This window comes from Homo sapiens, chromosome 8 (genome assembly GCF_000001405.40).
Source record: "Homo sapiens chromosome 8, GRCh38.p14 Primary Assembly".
Classification (NCBI taxonomy): Eukaryota; Metazoa; Chordata; class Mammalia; order Primates; family Hominidae; genus Homo; species Homo sapiens.
The window spans coordinates 97,760,878-97,785,262 of NC_000008.11; the positions used below are offsets into that span (position 1 = coordinate 97,760,878).

The following is a 24,385-nucleotide window of genomic DNA, read 5'->3' on the forward strand; positions in this document are numbered from 1 at the left end:
TCCAGGAACACATTATGTAGAAGCTACCCATATTTGGCTGACTTTTTGTTTTTTTTTAAGACAGGGTCAGGGCTGGAGTGCAGTGGTGCATTTGTGGCTCACTGCAGCCTTGACCTCCTGGGCTCAAGCAATTCTCTTGCCTCAGCCTCCTGAGTAGCTAGGCCTACAGGAGTGTGACACTATATTGGCTAACTTTTTTTTTTAATTTATATTTTTTTGTAGAAATGGGGGTCTTACCATATTGCCCAGGCAGGTCTTGAACTCCTGAGCTTAAGCGATCTGCCTGCCTGGGCCTCCTAAAGAGCTGGGATTACAGGCTCGAGCCACCGTGCAGGCTGGGGGTATTGTTTTCTGAGCTGCAACACAGGCTTTAACACCCACAATGAACATAAGTGTGCTGTTGTCTTCCATCTTCTTGGCTGACTAAGGGGGCCCGCAGAACATGCTGATGGTGCAGTGGTCAAGCTCTGCCGAGGAGACTTGGGCTGCCTCAGGAGCTGCAGGGTCTTGGGCTGCTAGAAGCTGGGTGACTTGAGGATCTTCTTTTTCCCTGTGGCTGTGGATGCCTTTCAGCACTGCCTTCTTCGCCTTCAAAGCCTTTGCCTTAACCTGGGCTTTGGGAGGAGCAGGACCTTCCTTCTCCACCTTTGACACAATCTTCAGAAAAGCCTGAAGAGGCTTTCGTTGGTGAGACAGGACACAGTGATGCTGGGCTGGGTGAAAGGCAGAACTCTGTTACTTACTTCTCCAAAGGAGAGAAGGCTGCCACACAGGACCACACAGGAGCTGCACCAGGAAGACTAACAGCAAGCTGGAAGTGTCTGAGGTGGCTTCTGTAATGCAAAGGAGGTTTTAGGGCTTCCTGGAGTTTGGGTATTTTGATAATTCTGTGACCAAACAAGAAAGGGCCATTCCTGAGCAAAAAGTACCTGGGGGCTCTGGCCCTGAATCTGTGCATATTGTAAGCCAGGGGTGTTACCGCCTGATAAGGGAAATAGTTGGGGTGAGGCCTTAGCAAACTGCCTGTGATGGGAATTAAGAATTTTTAACCATGGCTTCAAAACTCGGTCAAGATGACACTTGATTGCATTCCAAATCTTAAACATTGATAAACTATATTGATGCCATAATGTGATACCCTACCTTGTTTTAACCTGATTGACTCTCTCTTAGCTGAGAGAGCTGGACAGACTCCATTTTGGTTTCTTTGCTTGCAGTCCCTTGTCCCCCTCCCTTAAGGACATAACTGGTGCAAGCTGACTCCAAGCACATCCAAGAATGCGCTTACTGGTAAGATACTGAGGCAAGCTGTACCAGCAGCTCCTGGGAACGTGCTCGGTTGATGGCACCCAAAGCCCCTGCGTTTATCACTTTGTGAGAATTTAAGCCCCCGCACCTGGGACTGTTTATTTTCCTGTAACTGTTTCTGTAACCATATATCTTTTAACTTTTTGCCTGTTCTGCTTCTGTAAAAAAACTGCTTCAGCTAGACTCCCCCTCCCCTAATCAGACCAAAGTATAGAAAGAAGTGTAGCCCCTTCTTCGGGGCCGAGAGAATTTCAAGCTCTAGCCGTCTCTCAGTCGCTGGCAATAAAGGATTCCTGAATTAGTCTCAGAGTGTGGCGTTCTCTCTATAACTCGCTCGGTTACAACAATAATATCACCATTAATCAGAATACTGTTTTTTGTTTGTTTGTTTTTACTGTTAGCTGCACAGATCTACCACTAATGACTGCATCTGCCCATCTTTGTCTCTCTTATTGTCAGAGGCGTTGGAACCACAGTGACTCCATCTTGAATAGGGGCTAGGTAAAATGAGGCTGAGACCTACTGGGCTGCATTCCCTGGAGGCTAGGCATTCTGAGTCACTGGATGAGATAGGAGGTCAGGACAAGGTGCAGGTCATAAAGACCTTGCTAATAAAATAGTTTGCAGTAAAGAAGGCAGCCAAATCCCATCAAAACCAAGATGGCGACAAAAGTGACCTCTGGTCGTCCTCACTGCTCCTCATACGCTAATCATAATATGTTAACATGCTAAAAGACACTCCCACCAGCACCATGACAGTTTCCAAAGCCATGGCAATGTCAGGAAGTTACCGTATATGGTCTAATATGGGGGGGAGGAACCTTCGGTTCCAGGAATTGTCCACCCCTTTCCTGGAAAACTCATGAATAATCCACCCCTTGTTTAGCATATAATCTAGAAATAACTATAAGTATCCTTAGTGGAGCAGTCATGCCACCACTCTGTCCATAGAGTAGCCATTCTTTATTCTTTATTTTCTTCCTTTTTTTGTGGGGGGGGGTTGGGAAAGAGAGTCTCTCATCCATCTCGGTTCAATGCAACCTCTGCCTCCGGTGTTCAAGCGATTCTTCTGCCTCAGCCTCCCGAGTAGCTGGAATTACAGGCACATGCCACCACACCCGGCTATTTTTTTTGTAGAGACTAGGTTTCACCATGTTAGCCAGACTGTTCTCCAACTCTTGGCCTCAAATGATCCGCCTGCTTTGGCCTCCCAAAGTGCTGGGATTACAGGCATGAGCCACGGTGCCTGGCCCTCTTTACTTTCTTAATAAACTCTCTTTCACTTTACTTTATGGACTTGCCTTGAATTCTTTCTTGTGTGAGATCCAAAAACCCTCTCTTGGGTTCTGGATTGGGACCCCTTTCTGGGAACATTGTTATTTTGAGTTTCTTGGAGGCAGGGATTGTGTCTTAATGTACTCTGTCTCACAACCCCAGTCCAGAACCTGGCCAAACCCCAAGTGTGCTTTAATAAATATGTGATTAATTACATGGATCTCTGAGAGCGTATCAATCATAATTCTCGACTTCCTCCTTGGCTGCAATTCAAGAGCGGAGCCAGCTCCACATTCTGACCTTCACAGCCTGACCCTGGACAAGAGCCAGATTCTTTAATGAATCATCTGGCATACTACTTATTTTCGTCCTCTCACTCCTGTGAAACTCACAATTATCATGGCCTCCGGGAAGCAGTTCCTTGTGTTCTGACAAAAATGAGAGAGCTCACAAAATTTTCTCTTGTTTACCAACCAGCCTGGGCAACATGGTGAAACCCTGTCTCTATCAAAAAACTCACAAAAATTTGCCAGGCGTAGTGGCATGTATTTGTAGTCCCAGATACTCTGGAGGCTGAGGTGAGAGAATTACCTGAGCCCAGTAGGCAGAGGTTGTAGTGGGCTGTGATTGCACCACTGTACTCCAGCCTGGGCAACAGAGCCAGACCATGTCTCAAATACACATATATATCTATATAGATATATATCTATATCTATCTATATCTATATCTATCTATCTCTCTCTCTATATATATATTCTGTTTAGTTTTAAGTTCTAACAGAGATATGAAGCCTATCTCCAGGGCCAGCTTCATGGGCAGTGTGACCTGAGCAGTGGGACCTGGGCAAAGTGACCTAGACATGTGACTTGAGCAGTGTGATCTGGGCAGTGTGACCTGGGCAGTGGGACCTGAGCAGTGTGATCTGGGCAGTGTGACCTGGGCAGTGGGACCTGAGCACTGGGACCTGGATAATCTGAATGTGTGACCCGAGCAGTGTGATCTGAGTGGTGTGAGCTGGGCAATGTGACCTGGGCAGTGGGAACTGAGCAGTGGGACCTGGGTAATCTGGATGTGTGACCTGGATGTGTGACCTGAGCAGTGTGATCTGGGTGGTGTGAGCTGGGCAATGTGACCTAGGCAGAGTGACTTGAGCAGTGGGACCTGGGCACTGTGACCTGGGTAATCTGGATGTGTGACCAGAGCAGTGGAACCTGAGCAGTGGGACCTGGACAGTAGAACTTGCTAGATACTTGTGCTTAGAAGGACTGCATGCTTCATTTAATGTCCTACTGTTGCCATCTTGAAATTCTTAATACTTTTTCAAAAATAGGCCTCAAAATTTCCTTTTGCACTGGATCCCACAAATTATGTGGCTAATCCTGCCTATCTCTTTGGTACGTACCTTAAGCCTCCTGTGACATGAATTTATCATCAAGTCATGTGGGTTTTAGTTATGAAACCTCCAGTAGTTCTGTAGCTCCCCACTTTCCTCAGGAAATATACTCCAAACAGGGCCGGGTGCAGTAGCTCACGCCTGTAATCCCAGGACTTTGGGAGGCCAAGGCAGGCAAATCACAAGGTCAGGAGTTCGAGATCAGCCTGACCAACATGGTGAAACCCCATCTCTACTAAAAATACAAAAATTAGCTGGGTGTGGTGGCACATGCCTGTAATCCCAGCTACTCAGGAGGCTGAGGCAGATAATTGCTTGAACCCAGGAGGTGGAGGTTGCAGTGAGCTGAGATCACGCCACAGCACTCCAGCCTGGGCAACACAGCGACACTCCGTCTCAAAAAAAAAAAGAAAAGAAGAAAAGAAAAGCCTTTTACCTTCTGTTACCTACCCCCACACACACTGACACCCCTTACCTCACCTCTCTCAGCTCTGTCCCTTTTTCTTTCCAATGTGAACCCTCAGTTATTGTGCTCCTTGCTGTTTGTAACCTTGCAGGCCTGCCAGCTGCCCATCCCATGTGCGTCCTGTTTCCATCCTGCCCTGGGTAGTCCTCTGCTTCTCTTTACCTGGCCAATTCCATCTTATTCTGTAAGTGTGAACTTAGATGTCACCACCTCTGGGAGGCCCTCTCTGATCTACCCCAAACTAAGATAGTGCAGTGGCTCACTCCTACAATCCCAGCACTTTGGGAGGCCGAGGTGAACAGATTGCCTGAACCCAAGAGTTCAGGACAAGCCTGGGCAACATGGCGAAACGCTGGCTCTACAGAAAATACCAAAATGAGTGGGGCATGGTGGTGCACGCCTGTTATCTCAGCTACTCAGGAGGCTGAGGTGGGAGAATCGCTTGAACCTGGGAGGCAAAGGTTGCAGTGAGCCAAGATTGCACCACTGCACTCCAGCCTGGGTGACAGAGTGAGACTCTGTCTCAAACAAACAAACAAACCACACATTCAACAGCACCATGTGCATAGGTACATGAATTTCTTTTCTAACACATGTAGGTTTTCCTTTGCAGGGGAACTACCTACATGTAGCTCTGAATTTCTCAGCCATTAGAGGGGTCCTGAGGTCTCTCTTGAGATAGACCCTCGCCCAGGTTATGGAGGTAGTTCAGATGAAACCTTCCCACCCCCAAAGGACCTTCTGGTCCAATCCAATTCCTGAAGCATGTCTCTTCCTTCACCTTTTGTGGTCTATTCACCCTTCACAAGACCCAACTAACTAAAATGTGAACTCCCCACAATTGTAATTAATCTCTTCCTGCTTTCCTAGCATTTTGTTTTGTTTTGTTTTGTTTTGTTTTTTTAACTTTTTAATTTTTTTAGATGGAATTTCGCTCTTGTTGCCTACCCTGGAGTGCAATGGTGCGATCTCAGCTCACCGCAACCTCCGCCTCCCCGGTTCAAGTGATTCTCCTGCCTCAGCTTCCTGAGTAGCTGGGATTACAGGCATGCGCCACCACATGCAGCTAATTTTGTATTTTTAGTAGAGACAGGGTTTCTCTATGTTGGTCAGGCTAGTCTCAAACTCCCGACCTCAGGTGATCCCCCTGCCCCGGCCTTCCAAAGTGCTGGGATTACAGGTGTGAGCTACCTCACCCAGCCTTTATTTTTTATTTTTAATGATATACAGCATACATGCTGACTTATATCACAGTGACTTGTGCCATTAGGCTAGATGGTCCACTTTTTTTTTTTGAGATGGTCTCACTCTGTCATCCAGGCTGGAGTACAGTGGCATGATCACAGCTCACTGTAACATTGACCTCTTGGGCTCAAGTGATCCTCCTGCCTTAGCCTCTTGAGTAGATGGGACCACAGGCATGCGCCAGCATGCCTGGCTAATTTTTAAATTTTTTGTACAGACAGGGTTTGCTTTGTTGCCCAGGCTGGTGTTGAACTCCTGGGCTCAAGCAATCTTCTCATCTTGGCCCCTGAAAGTGCTGGGATTGTAGGTCTGAGCCACTGGGTCCAGCCTCAGTGGTCTGCTTTGAGAGCAGGAACAAAACATTACTAATCTTTCCGGACTTTATGTCTTTATGTTTTATCCATAGTAGGCACTCAAATTAATATTGGGTAATTTGAATTTCTAACAGAGAGACTGAAATGCAATTGGCCATAGAGAAGAAGAGATTTGAAAAAGAAAGAGGGGCTTTATCTAGTGGAAAGAAAAAATGTTCCCCAGCCAGGCACGGTGGCTCATGCCTGTAATCCCAGCACTTTGGGAGGTCAAGGCGGGTGGATCACCTGAAATCAGGGGTTCAAGACCAACCTGGGCAACATGGTGAAACCCCGTCTCTACTAAAAATATAAAAATTAGCCAGATGTGGTGGCAGGCACCTGTAATCTCAGCTACTGGGGAGGCTGAGGCATGAGAATCACTTGAACCCAGGAGGCAGAGGCTGCAGTGAGCCAAGATCACACCATTGCACTCCAGCCTGGGCAACAGAGTGAGACTCAGTCTCAAAAAAAAAAAAAAAAAAGAAAAGAAAAGAAAAAGAAAAAATGTTCCCCAACAAATAACTGGGAAATAGCTGAACTCAGAAAAAGGTTAAGGAGAGAGAAAAATTACAGTATAAGAAGATGATGAGGGAGGCTGGGCATGGTGACTTCAGGCACTTTGGGAGGCTGAGGTGGGAGGATCACTTGAGGCCAGGAGTTCAAGACCAGCCTCGCCAACAGAGCAAAACCCCGTCTCTATTTTTCTTTTTTTTTCTGAAACAGAGTCCCGCTCTATTGCCCAGGCTGGAGTGCAGTGGCTCGATCTCAGCTCACTGCAACCTCCATCTCCTAGGTTCCAGCAATTCTCCTGCCTCAGTCTCCCAAGTAGCTGGGATTACAGGCATGCACTACTATGCCTGGCTAATTTTTTTGTATTTTTAGTAGAGACGGGTGTCTCCATGTTGGTCAGGCTGGTCTCAAACTCCCCACCTCAGGTGATCTGCCTGCCTCAGCCTCCCAAAGTGCTGGGATTACAGGCGTGAGCCACTGTGCCTGGCCCCGTCTCTATTACAAATACAAAAAATTAGCTGGGCGTGGTGGCACACACTTGTAATCCCTGCTACTTGGGGGGCTGAGGCAGGAAAATTGCTTGAACCCAGGAGACGGAGGTTGCAGTGAGCCGAGATCGCGCCACTGCACTCCAGCCTGGGAGACACAGGGAGACCCTGTCTCAAAGAAAAAAAAAAAAAAAAAAAGACGAGCCTGGGTGACAAAGAGGCTGCAAGTCCTAAAGTCCTAAAAGTGAGAAGTGTTTAAAATCTGGTAAGGAAGGCACCAGTGAAGAATGAGGGAGGAGGTGCAAGTGAACTGTAAGAAACCTGACCAAGGTTATGAGGGCTGTCATCCTTAGTTCTGGCAGAAAAGGAGCAGTGTGGTGCCAGGCAGAGCAGCTCATGTCTATAATCCTAAGACTTTGGGAAGCTGAGGCAGGAGGATCGGATCACTTGAGGGCAGGAGCTTGAGAGCAGCCTAGGCAACATAGTGAGACCCTGTCTCTTAAAACAAACAGGCTGGGCATGGTGGCTCACACTTGTGATCCCAGCACTTTGGGAGGCCAAGGCGGGCAGATCATGAGGTCAAGATATTGAGACCATCCTGGCCAACATGGTAAAACCCTGTCTCTACTAAAAATACAGAAATTAGCTGGGTGTGGTGGCGTGCGCCTGTAATCCCAGCCACTCGGGAGGCTGAGGCAGAATCATTGAACCCGGGAGGAATCACTTGAACCTGGGAGACGGAGGTTGCAATGAGCAGAGATTGCTCGCCACTGCACTCCAGCCTGGCAACAGAGTAAGACTCCTTCTCAAAACAAACAAGCAAGCAAACAAACAAACAAACAGAAAACAAGGTGACTTTTCTTTTTTTTGAGATGGAGTTTCACTCTTGTTGCCCAGGCTGGAGTGCAATGGCTCGATCTCGGCTCATTGCAACCTCTGCCTCCCGGGTTCAAGTGATTTTCCTGCCTCAGTCTCCCAAGTAGCTGGGATTACAGGTATGTGCCACCATGCCCAGCTAATTTTTTGTATTTTTTTTTAGTAGAGACGGAGTTTCTCCGTGTTGGTAATGCTGGTCTCTAACTCCAGACCTCAGGTGATCCGCCTGCCTTGCCCTCCCAGTGTTGGGATTATAGGCGTGAGCCACTGTGCCTGGCCTAAAACCAGGTTTGTTTTTTTTTTTTTTTTTTTGAGAGAGTCTCACTCTGTCACCTGTAGCTGGGACTACAGGCACACACTGCCATGCCCAGCTATTTTTTTTTTGTATTTTTGGTAGAGACGGGGTTTCACCATGTTGGCCAGGATGGTCTTGATCTCCTAACCTTGTGATTGCCCACCTCTGCCTCCCAAAGTGCTGGGATTACAGGTGTGAGCCACCGCACCTGGCCAACCAGATGACTTTTCTAAGTAACTCTACTACTGCAATCAGTATGCCAGTTAAATATGTGGTTGTTTGAAAATAATACTGCTCCCCGCCCCCCCAAAAAATGAAAAGAATAACCCAGCTGTGACTAAGTTCCTTGGGAAGCCTCTGTGTAACCACCCAAGGGGTTTACCTTGCCCGCTGCCTAGTCAGAGCCGATTTATCAAGACACGGGAATTGCAATAAAAAATAATTCATGCAGAGCTGGTTGTGCGGGAGGCCAGTGGAAGGTCAGGGTTTGTTTTTGTTTGTTTGTTTTTGTTTTTAGGCAGAGTCCCGCTCTGTTCCCCAGGCTGGAGTGCAGTGGTGGGATCTCGGCTCACTGCAACCTTCGCTTCCCGGGTTCAAGCTATTCTCATGGCTCAGCCTCCCTATTCTCATGTCTAAGCCTCCCAATCAGCCAGGATTACAGGCGCCTGTCACAACGCCAGGCTAATTTTTGTATTTTTAGCAGAGACAGAGTTTTGCCATGCTGGTTAGGTTGGTCTCAAACTTCTGACCTTGGGTGATCCACCCGCCTCAACCTCCCAAAGTGCTGGGATTACAGGCGTGAGCCACCGTGCCCGGCCTTGATCAGGGTTTTAAAGAATAATTTGGTGGGTAGGGAGGGGGGGCCAGTGAATCAGGAGTGCTGATTGGCTGGCTCGGGAATGAAATCAGAGGGAGTGGAAGATGTTCTCTTATGCTGAGTCAGTTCCTGGGTGGGGGGCACAGAACTGGTTGGCAGGTCCAGGTGGGGCCATCCAGTTGTTAGAAATGCAAAAACCTGAAAAGACATCTCAAAAGACAGATCTTAGGTTCTCAACGCTGATGTTACCTTTAAGAATAATTGTGATTTCTCTGCATTTCTTCACTGGCCATCAGAGAAATGCAAATCAAAACCACAATGAGATACCATCTCACACCAGTTAGAATGGTGATCATTAAAAAGTCAGGAAACAATAGGTGCTGGAGAGGATGTGGAGAAATAGGAACACTTTTACACTGTTGGTGGGACTGTAAACTAGTTCAACCATTGTGGAAGTCGGTGTGGCGATTCCTCAGGGATCTAGAACTAGAAATACCATTTGACCCAGCCATCCCATTACTGGGTATATACCCAAAGGACTATAAATCATGCTGCTATAAAGACACATGCACACGTATGTTTATTGCGGCACTATTCACGATAGCAAAGACTTGGAACCAACCCAAATGTCCAACAATGATAGACTGGATTAAGAAAATGTGGCACATATACACCATGGAATACTATGCAGCCATAAAAAATGATGAGTTCATGTCCTTTGTAGGGACATGGATGAAATTGGAAATCATCATTCTCAGTAAACTATCACAAGGACAAAAAACCAAACACTGCATGTTCTCACTCATAGGTGGGAATTGAACAATAAGAACACATGGACACAGGAAGGGGAACATCACACTCTGGGGACTGTTGTGGGGTCGGGGGAGGGGGGAGGGATAGCATTGGGAGATATACCTAATGCTAAATGATGAGTTAATGGGTGCAGCACACCAGCATGGCACATGTATACATATGTAACTAACCGGCACATTGTGCACATGTACCCTAAAACTTAAAGTATAATTTAAAAAAATTACAAAAAAAAAAGAATAATTGTGGAAGTTGCGAATCTTACAACCTCTGGGATAACGGCTGGTAATATTTAGAATTCCAGCCCCTCTCATTCTAACTTGGTGGCTGGTGGCCTTTTATTCATTTCACAAGGACAGTTTAGCTTTGAGGAGGGGCTATTATTTAAATTATAAACTAAATTCCTTCCTAAGGCTAGTTGGGGCTATGCCCAGTAATGGACAAGGAGAGTTCAGAGATTAGAGGCAAGATAGAGTTAGTTAGAGCTGATGTCTTTCACTTGTCATAATTTCCTTAGTCGCCGGGCGCAGTGGCTCACGCCTGTAATCCCAGCACTTTGGGAGGCCGAGGCGGGCGGATCACGAGGTCAGGAGATCAAGACCATCCCGGCTAAAACGGTGAAACCCCGTCTCTACTAAAAATACAAAAAATTAGCCGGGCGTAGTGGCGGGCGCCTGTAGTCCCAGCTACTTGGGAGGCTGAGGCAGGAGAATGGCGTGAACCCGGGAGGCGGAGCTTGCAGTGAGCCGAGATCCCGCCACTGCACTCCAGCCTGGGCGACAGAGCGAGACTCCGTCTCAAAAAAAAAAAAAAAAAAAAAAAAAAAAAAAAAAAAAAAAATTTCCTTAGTCATAACTTTGCAAAGGCAGTTTCATTTGTTCTTTTGAAGCCAATTCCCATACTCTCTTGCACCCAAACAAATACAACTCCAAAGACATTGACACTAAGCTTTATTTAATAACCTTTAACTGCAATGGCATTTTTCTCTCTCCTTTTTTTTTTGTTATCCAGTTAGGTTCCCTCTATTCTTTATTTTCTTATCTAGAGAAATTTGGCAACTGTCTGTAAGTTCAGATCTTGAACAGTAAGATTTCTAAAATATAAAATTCCCTTGAATCAATGATTGATTTGCCTAATAAATATGAAATTCTGGTGGGGAGGGAAAAAGGAAAGGTAACTATGGGAGCTTGCTGGGAGTTTAATTGTTGAAAAAGTCTCATTCAAGATACCATTTCCTATTCTGATCACATGTCTCTATTCTTTCTCAGAGCACAAATGCTTGTCCTATATTAAAAGTGGCTGTGGGCCAGGCGCAGTGGCACACACTTGTAATCCCAGCACTTTGGGAGGCCAAGGCAGGCAGATCACCCGAGGTCAGGGGTTTGAGATCAGCCTGGCCAACATGGTGAAATCCCATCTCTACTAAAAATACAAAAAATTAGTTGGGCGTGCTGATGGGCACCTGTAATCCCAGCTACTTGGGAGGCTGAGGCAGGAGAATCGCTTGAACCCGGGAGGCGGAGGTTGCAGTGAGCCGAGATGGCGCCACTGCACTCCAGCCCAGCGACAGTGCGAGACACCGTCTCAAAAAAAATGGCTGATTGTCTGAAGGTAGTGAGTTATCTCAATTGATTGTTCATGGTCAGTTACAGATGGAACTCCTTGTTCTACTGTTTTCCCTGTTGTCACTACTGCACTTGACTAGTATATACATATATATTTTTAAAAAGTGGCTGTGGGCATAATTAAATTTTAAATGGAAGAGCCCACAGAGAAAATGATCTCTAATGTGAAAGGAACCAGAATTTTTGTTGTTGTTCTTCATTATTCAACTTGAAGAAACCAGAATTTTGTAGTGAAAACACAAAACAAGGCTGGGCAAGGTGGTTCATGCCTGTAATCCCAGCACTTTGGGAGGCTAACGCCAGCGAATCACCTGAGGTCAGGAGTTTGAGACCAGCCTGACCAACATGGAGAAACCCCGTCTCTACTAAAAATACAAAGTTAGCCGGGCGTGGTGGCGCATGCCTGTAATCCCAACTACTCAAGAGGCTGAGTCAGGAGAATTGCTTCAACCCGGGAGGCGGAGGTCGTGGTGAGCCCAGATCGCGCCATTGCAACTGCAGCCTGGGCAACAAGACCGAAATTCCATCAAAAAAAAGAAAGAAGAAAGAAAACACAAAACAAAAACGGAGCTTTTTGTTTGGTTTTCTGATTAATTCCCCAAATAATGTTACTTATCATTTCTAATTAAGGGCCTACACTTGACATGGTAGGGATGGCTCTTGGTTCCAGGATAAAGCTACATAGTAAGAAAGTTGCAGCTTTAAAGACTCGTAAAACTAATCAGTTCTGTAATTGAATAGTTTTAACAGTATCTTTCTTCCTATTTAGCCTCATCTTAGGAAATTTAGATCGAATCAATTTTTTTTTTTACTCCATGTCTGAAATAAAACTTTCACCCGTGCTAATAATCTAACCTATCTCAGATTCTTGGCTTTGACAGTAGTCCGTAGGCTAACCGCAGACAACGGTGCTTCTACACAAAACACGAATTGGGAGGAAATAAACTCCTCCAAAACATAGAACTATCTTTCACTATCTCTAACACTGTGTTGTGTCTTGCAGAGGCCTTGTGTAACTGGTTGGATGACTGTTTCTCTTTTTTGTTTTGAGAAGTGTCTCACTGCCGTCGCCCAGGCTGGAGTGTAGTGGCACAATCACGGATCACTGCAGACTCGAACTCCCCGGCTCAGGTGATTCTCCCGCTGCAGCCAGCCCCTGGAGTAGCTGGGACCACAGGCACGTGCCACCAAGCCCGGCTAATTTTGTCTTGTTTTTGTTTTTTGGGATGGAGTTTCGCTCTTGTTGCCCAGGCTGGAGTGCAATGGCGCGATCTAGGCTCACCGCAACCTCTGCCTCCCAGGTTCAAGCCATTCTTCTGCCTCAGCCTTCCCAGTAGCTGGAATTATAGGCATGCACCACCACGCCCAGTTAATTTTATTTGTATTTTTAGTAGAGATGGGGTTTCTCCATGTTGGTCAGGCTGGTCTCAAACTCCTGACCTCAGGTGATCCCCCCGCCTTGGCCTCCCAAAGTGCTGGTGTTACTGGTGGGTCTTTGTTCTTAGAGCTCCCAAGATGGTGGTGGGCCACTCCCAAGATGGTGGCGGCTGCTCCCAGGATGGCAGCAAGCCTTTCGTTCTCTGACCTGGGGTTCTTGGCCTCACGGATTTCAAGGAATGGGACCTTGGGCCATGCAGTGAGTGTTATAGCTCTTTTAGAAGTCGTGGGTCACGGAAGAGAACCGTGGAACCCAGCGACTAGTGTTCAGCTTGATTAGGACCAACCCGGGCACTTAGCCGCACAGGAACAATGGCGAGCCTCTAGCCCAAACAGGAGCGGCAATGGGCACCTCGCTGGATCAGAAACGCAGGGGACACCCTGCCGGATCCAGAGGGGTGGAAGTCAACGGCGGGTCTGCAACAGCGGCGAACAGCAGTGGTGGACGGTGAGCGAAAGCTCAGCTCCAGGTGGAAGAGTGTGCAGCTGCAAGATTTAATAGAGTGAAAACAGCTCCCATACAGTGGGCGGGGACCCAAAGGGGGTTGCCCACTCCCGGCTGGAATGCCTGGGGTTTATATCCCAATCATTGTCCCTCCCCCTGTGCTCTCAGATGATAGATGATTTGACTATTTCTTTACCTCTTGCTTTTAGCTTAATTGGTGTTTTAGTGAGCCCTTTTTACTACCTGATTGGTCAGGTGTGAGCTGAGTTACAAGCCCCATGTTTAAGGGTGGGTGCGGTCCCCTTCCCCAGGTAGGTTTAGGAATTCTTAGTCGCCCCAGGAAATCCGCTACTCTTGTCTCTCACTGGGATTACAGGCGTGAGCCACCGCGCCCAGCCAATTTTGGTATTTTTTGTAGAGCCAGGGTTTCGCCATGTTGCCCAGGCTGGGACTGAATCTTTAGAGCTGCACTCATGATTAAAAACGCTGTGCCAGGCGTTGTGGCTCACGCCTGTAATCCCAGCACTTTGGGAGGCTGAGGCGGGCGGATCACGAGGTCAGAAGATCGAGACCATCCTGGCTAACACGGTGAAACCCCGTCTCTACTGAAAATACAACAAATTAGCCAGGCGTGGTGGCGGGCGCCTGTAGTCCCAGCTACTAGGGAGGCTGAGGCAGGAGAATGGCGTGAACCCGGGAGGTGGAGCTTGCAGTGAGCCGAGATCGCACCACTGCACTCCAGCCTGGGTGACAGAGCAAGACTCTGTCTCAAAAAAAAAAAAAAAAAAAAAAAAAAAAAGCTACCGGAAGCACAGCGAGGATGTCCTTGACACACATCCTATTTTCTGGGAAAAGATTACTACCACAGTAATTGAGCTGTGAAGCGGAGACAAATTGCTCTCGGTGGTGGTTCAAAGTACTGCAATTGACTGGAATAGCACCGCGCAGTTTTCCTTCCTCTCGTGCAAGATAAGAGTGATAGGAGCTGTATCGATTACCTGCAAGATAGAAGTAGAAGCGGGCCGGGTGCGGTGGCTCACGCCTGTAATCCCAGCACTTTGGGAGGCTGAGGCGGGTGGATCATTCGACGTCAGGAGTTCCAGACCAGCCTGACCAACATGGTGAAACCCCGTCTCTACTAAAAATACAACAAATTAGCCGGGTGTGGTGGCAAGCGCCTGTAATCCCAGCTACTCGGTTGGTTGGGCAGGAGAATCGCTTGAACCCGGGAGGCGGAGGTTGCAGTGAGCCGAGATCGCGCCATTGCACTCCAGCCTGGGCGACAAGAGCGAGACTCTGTCTCAAAAAAAAAAAAAAAAGAAGTAGAAGGGAAGAAAATCGCAAGGAACTAGACTAAAAGAATCTCGACCCTTGAATGGAGTTACACGAACGGCCAGATGAAAGAAGGAAGGCCCGGACCTCCACTCAGGGCCGACTAGGGGACTGGCGGAGGGTGCACGCTGATGGATTTACTCACCGGGTGCTTGGAGCTCCAGCAGCTGGCTGGAGCCCGCGATGACGTCACGGACTCGGGTCACATGGCCAAGTCCGCCCCGCCCCCTCCCCGTCCCCGCCGCTGCAGCGGTCGCCTTCGGAGCGAAGGGTACCGACCCGGCAGAAGCTCGGAGCTCTCGGGGTATCGAGGAGGCAGGCCCGCGGGCGCACGGGCGAGCGGGCCGGGAGCCGGAGCGGCGGAGGAGCCGGCAGCAGCGGCGCGGCGGGCTCCAGGCGAGGCGGTCGACGCTCCTGAAAACTTGCGCGCGCGCTCGCGCCACTGCGCCCGGAGCGATGAAGATGGTCGCGCCCTGGACGCGGTTCTACTCCAACAGCTGCTGCTTGTGCTGCCATGTCCGCACCGGCACCATCCTGCTCGGCGTCTGGTATCTGGTGAGCGCGGCGCGCCCGGCCCGGGACCCTGCGTTGCTTCCGCGCCCCTAGCTGGGCTTCTGGCCCGGCCTCGCGGTGGGGTGAGGCGTGCGCTCATCCGCCTAAAGTTGTATTATTAGAAACTTAATTCTCCGGGTGCCGCGTCCGCACTTCCCCCGGCTGGGCCAGCGCCGACTGGGGGAGGCCAGGAGTTTGGGGCGATGGGGGAGGCCAGGGGCGCGGGGCGGAGGGCCGCACTCGACCCTTGGCGCCCAGGTGGTGTGGGTCGCCGATCTCCAGCCTCCGCGCAGCCCCGCGGCCTCGCGTAGGGCGCACCGGGGCAGACAAACTGAGCTTATCTGCCGAGCACGTGTTTCCTTTCTTCTTAAAGCCCGTGGGCTTTGTGTTTCGACGGCTGCGGACGGAGCGGTCGCGGAGGTGACGGCGCATATTTTGCAGCTCTGTGGTTAGGGTTGCGGATTTGTCAATGCTCGTTCTCCCTGGCCGCGTCTCCGCTAGGGTGGCCTGCGCTTTCACGCCGTCGCACGTTCGGATCCCGAGTTGAAGTGGTTGGGAGTTCTTGGCATCCTCTTGTGAATGGGTCCCCCCCCCGATGTTTTAAAGCCCTTACTCCAGGAAGGGATGTGAGTGTGATTTACTGCGTTTCCATCTGCCCGGGGAAGCCATTTTCCACCCACATTTTTCCTGCCCGTGGACAGTTGGTCTTCAGACCTTTTCTTGACAGACTCAGCGGGCAAATCTGGCATTTTTTTTCCTGGTTGGAACTTTTGAAGTCTTTTTTTGTATGAGGAGCAGTGATTTTCAGAGCTAGTGAGGAAACCTGATGGAGTCTTGCCCGCACCTGCCCTGCGTTGGTTGGTGGCACCCCTAGACTGCACCAGCACTGAGTCGGATTCCGCTGCATTTTGGGTTTTGTGACATCATGATGGAGAGTTAGACCAGAGTTGCTTTGCAGTGAATACCACTGCATCGCGAGAAAATGCCCTGAAAATGGTAGACAAATAGCATATATAACTTTTTTCAGTGAGGTTTTTTTTTTTTTTTTTTTTTTTTTTTGAGACAGAGTCTCACTCTGTGGCCCGGGCTGGAGTGCAATGGCATGATCTCTGCTCACTGCAGCCTTCGCCTCCCAGGTTCAAGCGATTCTCCTTCCTCAGCTTCCCGAGTAGCTGGGATTGCAGGCGCCCGCCACTATGCCTAGCTAATTTTTTGTATTTTTAGTAGAGACAGGGTTTCACCATGTTGGCCAGGCTGGTCTCGAACTGCTGACCTCGTGATTCGCCCGCCTTGGACTCCCAAAGTGCTGAGATTACAGGCGTGAGTGAGCCACCGCGCCCGGCCGAGAAAAATTCTTATCTCTTTAATGAGTTGGGGTGTGTGTGTGTGGTTTGTTTATTGGGCCCATTTTTGGGTAGAATATGGACTTTTTGTCTAACTGTGAACCCCTTCCTTGTACCATTTTAAGCAAAACATTTCACCCCAGGCATATGGTATTCACTGTGCTATTTATAGTTTCAAGTTTCCTTTAGTCAGTGCCTATCATGGCCACACAATATAAATTTTTGGCGTGAAAGTATTTCAAACAGATATTTAGCGTGTGTGGGTTCTTACTGTGCAGTGTAAATACAGATGGAACATCAGCATATTAGCTAAACTTCGACTTTGGTAAAAGCCAAGAAATTCTTTACTGAAATTGAAAATTATAGCAAAAGGATAGTAGGTGGCTCAAAATAGTTGGTGCTTTTATTGATGATCAAGACAGCCTGTTTTATACAAGTGTCTGCCTTCCTTGAAAATGTTCAAATCTGCCGACTTGCAAGTACATCAGAGAACGTAATTTGTAAAATCTAGGGCATTGCATTAGGCAAATGTACTACGTGATCCACAGGAAAGATAAATCCTACTTGAGCCCTGTTGGCTGTAATCCAACCAGACAGTGTAGGTGTGATAAAAGGAGAGTACTCAGCATGCTTTGTCTACTGTTTGAGCACGCTCTCTGTGGAAAGTAGTTATTGGTGTGTTTGTCTTAACGTTTGGAAATAAATGGCCTTTTGAAAGGTAATTAGAAAGCTTTCTAGCAGATGTGAATAAAAATGTTGCTTTAGGTAAACCCTATTTCTGGGAAACCTGGCTTAAGTACTGGTAATCTTTATAAATAGTCTTTTGCATTTCACAAGGCAATGTAAGCCTTTTTCTTTTCTTTCTTTTTTTTTTTTAAAGTAGTGATTTTCACTCAGACCTTTGAATATAATTTTGTGATACCCTACCTTGTTTTAACCTGAATTGACTCTCCCTTAGCTAAGAGCCAGACAAGACTCCATCTTGGCTCCTTCACTTGCAGCCCCTTACCCACCCGCTTCCTCAAGGACTTAACTTGTGCAAGCTGACTCCCAGCACATCCAAGAATGCAATTAACTGATAAGATACTGTGGCAAGCTATATCCGCAGTTCCCAGGAATTCGCCCGGTTAATAGTACCCAGAGCCCCCGCGTTTGTGTCCGGTTGATAACACCCAAAGCCCCGCGTCTGTCACCTTGTGATAGATTTAAAGCCCCTGCACCTGGAACTGTTTACTTTCCTGTAACCATTTGTCCTTTTAACTTTTTGCCTACTTTGTTTTAACTAGACTCTCCCCCTCCCCTTTCTGAACAAAAGTATAAAAGAAAATCTAGCCCCTTCTTTAGGGCCAAGAGAATTTTGAGCACTAGCCGTCTCTGGGTCGCCGGCTAATAAAGGACTCCTGAATTCGTCTCAGAGTGTGGTTTCTCTATAAGTTGCTCGGTTACAACAATTTGGTTGTCCAAAACTTTGATTTTCTTGAACTTTTTTAAGAGAGTTTGTGTGGCTAGGGAGCAGGACCACTGTAAAACGAGGCACCTTCCCTGGTTTGTCCTAACCCTTTCTCTCAGCCAGCCATCTGGATGGAATGGAGTCAATTATCAGAAAGTGGAGAGTTAAGAATTAGCCAGGTGTGGTGGCTCACACCTGTAGTCCCAGCTTGAGTCCCAGGAGTTCGAAGCTGCAGTGAGCTGTGATTGCACCCCTACACTCCAGCCTGGGCAACCAGAGTGAGCACTGTCTCTTAACAGAGGCCAAGTGCGGTGGCTCACGCTTGTAATCCCAGCATTTTGGGAGGCTGAGGCGGGCAGATCATTGGAGGTCAGGAGTTCGAGACCAGCCTGACCAACCATGGCCAGTGTGGTAAAACCCCATCTCTACTAAAAGTACAAATTAGGTGCGGTGGTGTAGGCCTATAATCCCAGCTACTTGGGAGACTGAGGCAGGAGAATTGCTTGAACCTGGGAGGCATAGGTTGCAGTGAGCCAAGATTGTGCCACTGCACTCTAGCCTGGGTGACAGTGAGACTCTGTCTCAAAAAAAGAAAAAAAAAGAGAAAGAGGCCTGGTGCAGAGGCTCACGCCTGTAAGCACTTTGGGCGGCCGAGGTAGGCGGATCACTTGAGGTCAGGAGTTCTAGACCAGCCTGGGCAACATGGCAAGATCCCGTCTCTAATAAAAATACAAAAATTATTCGGTCGTGGTGGCATGCGCCTGTAATCCCAGCTACTCAGGAGGCTGAGGCATGAGAATTGCTTGAACTCTGGAGGTGGAAAGTCCAGCCTGGGTGACAGCAAGACTCTTATCTAAAAAAAAAAAAAAAAAAGTTGGGTGTGGGTGGCTCACGCCTATAATCCCAGCACTTTGGGAGGCCGAGGTGAGTGGATCTTGAGGTCAGGAGTTCAAAACCAGTCTGGCCAAGGTGGTGAAACCTCATCTCTACTAAAACTACAAAATTAGTCGGGCGCAGTGGCAGGCACCTGTAATCTCAGCTGCTGGGGAGGCAGAGGCAGGAGAATCCCTTGAACCCAGGTGGCAGAGGTTGCCGTGAGCCGAGATCACGCCACTGCACTCCAGCTTGGGCAACAGAGTGAGACTCTGTCTCAAAAAAAAAAAAAAAAAAGAAAAGTAAAATAAAGAATAATAATAATAAAGCGGAGAGTTTTCAGACAAGGCAGATATTTAAATAAGAGTCCAGGCCGGGTACGGTGGCTCATACCTGTAATCCCAGCACTTTCGGAGACTGAGGCGGGTGGATCACCTGAGGTCAGGAGTTTTGAGACCAGCCTGGCTAACATGATGAAACCCTGTTTCTATTAAAAATATAAAAAATTAGTGGGGCGTGGTGGCACGTGCCTGTAACCCCAGCTACTTGGGAAGCTGAGAGAAGAATCATTTGAACCCAGGAGGCGGAGGTTGCAGTGAGCTGAGATCGTGCGATTGCACTCCAGCTTGGGCAACAAAAGCGAAACTCTGTCTCAAAATAAATAAATAAATAAAACAAAAAGTAAGAGTCCACAATAAGGGCTCATTTAAGTAATTTCCTGTTTTGCAAGATAGGTAAAGTGGATCTTTTTTATATGTTTTCTTATTGTTGATTCCTACCAATACCGTTTACTAAGGCTCCAAGTGTCATGTACTTTACTAGATACTTTGCATAAGGTTAATTTTTACATATTCCTGGTGAGGTAGATTTTCTTATTCCCATTTTACAGATGAGAAAACTGAGGCTTAGAGAACTTTGGTGATTTACTTGAGAGCTTAAAATCCCATGGTTGGTTTATGATCTGAGTGATGTTTTAATCTGTTCTGTTTCCACTGTTTTACTTTTAAAAGTTGTGCATGTGTTTTGGTTTTGTCTTGGAATAATAAAAGTTTTCCTTCAGTCCTGAAGTAAAGTATATTGACTTCAGGTATTTATTATTATTATTACTATTTTTAAAATTCTGGGCCACGCTAACTTTGGGAGACTTCAGGTATTTATTCTAGAGATCATTTTTTGTTTGTCTCTTTTTTTTTCTTTTATTGAGTTGTGATTTATGTACTACAATTTTTTTTTTTTGAGACCGAGTCTCGCTCTGACGCCCAGGCTGGAGTGCAGTGGCGTGATCTCGGCTCACCACAACCTCCGCCTCCTGGGTTCAAGCGATTCTCCTGCTCAGCCTCCTGAGTAGCTGGGATTACAGGTGAGCTCCGGGCTAATTTTTGTATTTTTAGTAGAGATGGGGTTTCCCCATGTTGTTCAGGCTGGTCTTGAACTCCTGACCTTGTGATCCATCCGCCTTGGCCTCCCAAAGTGCTGAGATTACAGGCGTGAGCCACTGTGCCCGGCCTTTTTTTTTTTTTTTTTTTTTGAGGAGTTTTGCTCTTATTGCTCAGGCCGAAGTGCAGTGGTGCAATCTCAGCTCACTGCAACCTTCGCCTCCTGGGTTCAAGTGATTCCTGCCTCAGCCTCCCAAGTAGCTGGTATTACAGGCACCCACCACTGCGCTTGGCTAATTTTTGTTTTCCTAGTAGAGACAGGGTTTCATTATGTTGGCCAGGCTGGTCTTGAACTCCTGACCTCAGGTGATCCGCCCGCCTCGGCCTCCCACAGTGCTGGGATTACAGGCGTGAGCCACCGTGCCCGGCAAAATTCACAGTTAAATGTAGTTTATTGAGTTGACAAATGCCTCTGTAATGTAACCCACATTCCTTGAGAACATTTCCAAACTTTCAGCAAGTTCCCTTGTGCTGTTTCCCAGTTAATCCCTGCCATATCCCCAATCACTGTAGGTAAGTTTTGCTTATTCATGTAAAATGGAATTATGCTGTGTGTACCCTTCTGTATCTAGCTTCTTTCACTTAGCATAACTTCTTTTAGATTCATTCATCTTCTTGGAGTGTTGCTTTTTATTGCTGAGTATTGTTTTTATTGTATTAATATACCACAATTTGTTTATCCATTTGCCAGATATTGGACATTTGGGTTATTTCCAATTTGGGGCTATTATAAATAAAGCTGCACTGAACATTCTTGCACAAGACTTTGGGGACTTTTTTTTTTTTTTTTGAGACAGAGTTTAGCTCTTGTTGCCCAGGCTGGAGTGCAATGGTGCGATCTCGGCTCACCGCAACCTCCGACTCCCAGGTTCAAGCAATTCTCCTGCCTCAGCCTCCCTAGTAGCTGGGATTACAGGCATGCGCCACCACACCTGTTTAATTTTGTATTTTTAGTAGATAACAGGATTTCTCCATGTTGGTCAGGCTGGTCTCGAACTCCCGACCTCTGGTGATCTGCTCCCCTCAGCCTCCCAAAGTGCTGGGATTACAGGCCTGAGCCACCATGCCCAGCTTTTTTTTTTTTTTTTTTTTTTTTTTTGTGACAAGATCTCACTCTATTGCCCAGGCTGGAGTGGCTCAATGCAGCCTTGTCTTCCCTGGCTCAAGCAGCCTTGCCATTTCAGCCTCCCAAGTAGCTGGGACTACAGGCTCACACCACCACTCCACACCACTCCAGGCTTTTGTTTTTGAGACAGAGCCTCACTCTGTTGTCCAGGCTGGAGTGCAGTGGCGCAGTCTCAGCTCACTGCAACGTCTGCCTCCCGGGTTCAAGCGATTCTCCTGCCTCAGTCTCCTGAGTAGCTGGTACTACAGGCATGCGCCACCATCCCTGGCTAATTTTTTATTTTTGGTAGAGACGGGGTTTCACCATGTTGGTCAGGCTTGTCTCGAACTCCTGACCTCCTGATCCACCTGCTTCGGCCTCCCAAAGTGCTGGGATTACGGGCGTGAGCCACCGTCCCCAGCCTTTTTTTTTTTCTGAGACGGAGTCTCGCTCTTGTTGCCCAGGCTGGAGTGCAGTGGTGCAGTCTCGGCTCACTGCAGCCTCCGCCTCTTGGGTTCAAGTGATTCTCCTGCTTCAGCCTCCAAAGTAGCTGGGATTGCAGGCATGCACCACCATACCTGGCTAATTTTGTATTTTATTTATTTATTTATTTATTTATTTATTTATTTATTTATTTTTTAGTAGAGACGGGGTTTCTCCATGTTAGTCAAGCTGGTCTCAAACTCCCGACCTCAGGTGATCTGCCCGCCTTGGCCTCCCAAAGTGTTGGGATTACAAGTGTGAGCCACCGCGCCCGGCCTTTTTTTTTTTTTTTTTTTAAATATCCTTGTTCAGTTATTTTTTAGGAACTTAGACACAGCAAATACATACCAAATGCCTCTGTGCCAGACACTGTTCACAGGGTAGTTAGCCATATATCAGATTATAAAGGATAAAAGAGGTCAGAGTAGCTGCTTCATTGGCTTTATGACCTGGTCTTTCTTTTTAATTTTCTTTCTTTCTTTTTCTTTTGTTTTTTAATTATACTTTAAGTTCTGGGATACAAGTGCAGACCTGGTCTTTCAAAGAATCCACTTGTTCACATAGAAACTCACAGTTTCCTTGTTTACTCAAGTAAAGGAAACCAGAATATCTCACCCAAAATATACCTCTTTGGTATATTTCAAGATAGTATTAGAGAAACTGCAAACAAGAATAGCTCTGAAAAGCTGCTGTTTGTGGAGATTTGCATCTTTAGGGAAAATCTGCATTAGTGAAATAAACAGCCAGGCTTTCTCTGAGCACACCTCCCCACCCCATCCCCCATGTTCAGACCTTGGAAAGATTAACCGAGAGATTGAGAGTCTGACACCTTTGAAGGTCTAATAGAGAAGTTTACCACATACCACAGGCTACCAAGTATCTTTTCTCAAGCCTTCTACCTGTGGGGTCTCATTTGCATAACAAGACCACCTTCCCTAGCCAGGCCTTTCCGTCCCTCCCTCCCATAACCTGTTTTGCCGTGATCTAAACCCCTATTCTTTCTGTAACTTCAGAAAGACATTAAAACTTAAACCATCTGGCCCTTCCTTTGAGTTTTCTTATTTCTGTGACTCCCACGTATGCGTGTGCACGTAATACATTTGTATGCCGTTTCTTGCTGTTGATCTATTATCAGTTTGTTTATTAGACTCAAATGATCAAACCTTCAGAAGTTGTAGAAGGGGGAGAATTTTCTTCACCCCTTCACAAGCCTGATAGATTTTCTTTGTATTCTGAGAAGTTCAACAACTATTGATTTGTCTGAGTACAGGATAGTAAGACCAACATCCTGTATTTGTAGAGTGATTGATAGCTTTCGGTGGGCATTCACATTTGTTCTTATTTAGACCTCAAAGCAACCCTGGGTCACGCATGATAGGTGGTGATATGTTCTTTTAAGATTAATAGCTTCTTTCCAACTGTCAGATTCTGTGACTTGGCCCGTAATTTCAGGATAGAATAACGGACTGATTTGTGGCAATTGTGTCATCTTTATTGCCTGGTGTTTTCCCCACTATGTTAGATTGTAAAAGACTAAATAGTAGGCTAAAGAGTTTGGATTTTATTCTGTAGGCAGTGGGGAACCATTGAAGAATTATGAACAGGAGCGATATGATGAAAGCAGTTTTTTTTGGTTGTTGTTTTTGTTTTGTTTTGTTTTTTGAGACGGAGTCTCGCTCTGTCACCCAGGCTGGAGTGCAGTGGTGGGATCTCCACTCACTGCAAGCTCTGCCTCCCGGGTTCAAGCCATTCTCCTGCCTCAGCCTCTCGAGTAGCTGGGACTACAGGCGCCCACCACCACACCCCGCTGATTTTTTTATTTTTAATAGAGATGAGGTTTCAACGTGGTAGCCAGGATGATCTCAATCTCCTGACTTCGTGATCTGCCCACCTCAGCCTCCCAAAGTGTTGGGATTACAGGCATGAGCCACCACGCCTGGCCAATGAAAGCAGTTTTTAAGTTAGATTAAAATGGCAGGCTGTTTCAGATGGCTGGAAAACCAGGCAGTATGTTATATATAGCTCTCTAGATACAAACTATAGTGGGTATCAGCTCTTAGTGGTATGAATAAGATGGATAGGAATTTTTACCAGTTAGTGAGTGATACAAGTCTCTCTTTCTACCTAGGTTTTCTCCATCTGATTTAAGGAATTGAACAGATTTAGATAGGGAAGGACATTGGATTTTTAAAGTACAGGTTTCCCCTCATCTAATAAAGGATCAAGGGCAGTTCTATAGAACATTGGTTGGTGGAGATTTCAGTGGTATTCAATATCTTTTTAAGCTTTTATCACACTTTTTTTTTTTTTGAGGCAGTTTCATTCTGTCACCCATGATGGAGTGCAGTGGTGCCATCTCGGTTCCCTGCAACCTCCACCTCCCGGGTTCAAGCCCTTCTCTTGCCTCAGCCTCCCGAGTACATGGGATTACAGGCGCAGGCCACCACGCCTGGCTTAATTTAGTAGA

The 24,385-nt window shown here is 47.1% G+C and overlaps 1 protein-coding gene and 1 long non-coding RNA gene across 2 annotated transcripts in view, besides 5 other annotated features; one reads left to right on the forward strand and one right to left on the reverse strand.

The window, feature by feature from the left end:
- Window positions 1–12,825: 12,825 nt before the first annotated feature.
- Window positions 12,826–14,898, reverse strand: LOC124901986 (uncharacterized). The gene is made up of 2 exons (XR_007061020.1): window positions 14,822–14,898; window positions 12,826–13,385 (listed from the first exon to the last, which is right to left on the reverse strand). It is a non-coding gene; the product is annotated as an uncharacterized LOC124901986 (long non-coding RNA).
- Window positions 13,252–13,751: an enhancer, noted in NCBI's record as "H3K4me1 hESC enhancer chr8:98786357-98786856 (GRCh37/hg19 assembly coordinates)". NCBI's record gives its function as "activates a minimal SCP1, AML or CMV promoter by ChIP-STARR-seq in primed H9 embryonic stem cells {active_cell/tissue: H9 hESC(primed)}" and the evidence as "EXISTENCE:reporter gene assay evidence [ECO:0000049][PMID:30033119]".
- Window positions 14,779–15,741: an enhancer, noted in NCBI's record as "H3K27ac hESC enhancer chr8:98787884-98788846 (GRCh37/hg19 assembly coordinates)". NCBI's record gives its function as "activates a minimal SCP1, AML or CMV promoter by ChIP-STARR-seq in naive H9 embryonic stem cells {active_cell/tissue: H9 hESC(naive)}" and the evidence as "EXISTENCE:reporter gene assay evidence [ECO:0000049][PMID:30033119]".
- The window catches only part of LAPTM4B (lysosomal protein transmembrane 4 beta), a 77,226-nt gene continuing 67,751 nt past the window's right edge, over window positions 14,911–24,385 (forward strand). Inside the window, exon 1 of the mRNA NM_018407.6 lies at window positions 14,911–15,231. Coding sequence (NP_060877.4) covers window positions 15,133–15,231 — 99 coding nt within the window. The 5' untranslated portion in view covers window positions 14,911–15,132. The remainder of the gene's footprint in view (window positions 15,232–24,385) is intronic.
- Window positions 15,742–16,703: an enhancer, noted in NCBI's record as "H3K27ac hESC enhancer chr8:98788847-98789808 (GRCh37/hg19 assembly coordinates)". NCBI's record gives its function as "activates a minimal SCP1, AML or CMV promoter by ChIP-STARR-seq in naive H9 embryonic stem cells {active_cell/tissue: H9 hESC(naive)}" and the evidence as "EXISTENCE:reporter gene assay evidence [ECO:0000049][PMID:30033119]".
- Window positions 16,886–17,507: an enhancer, noted in NCBI's record as "NANOG hESC enhancer chr8:98789991-98790612 (GRCh37/hg19 assembly coordinates)". NCBI's record gives its function as "activates a minimal SCP1, AML or CMV promoter by ChIP-STARR-seq in primed H9 embryonic stem cells {active_cell/tissue: H9 hESC(primed)}" and the evidence as "EXISTENCE:reporter gene assay evidence [ECO:0000049][PMID:30033119]".
- Window positions 21,635–22,143: an enhancer, noted in NCBI's record as "H3K27ac-H3K4me1 hESC enhancer chr8:98794740-98795248 (GRCh37/hg19 assembly coordinates)". NCBI's record gives its function as "activates a minimal SCP1, AML or CMV promoter by ChIP-STARR-seq in primed H9 embryonic stem cells {active_cell/tissue: H9 hESC(primed)}" and the evidence as "EXISTENCE:reporter gene assay evidence [ECO:0000049][PMID:30033119]".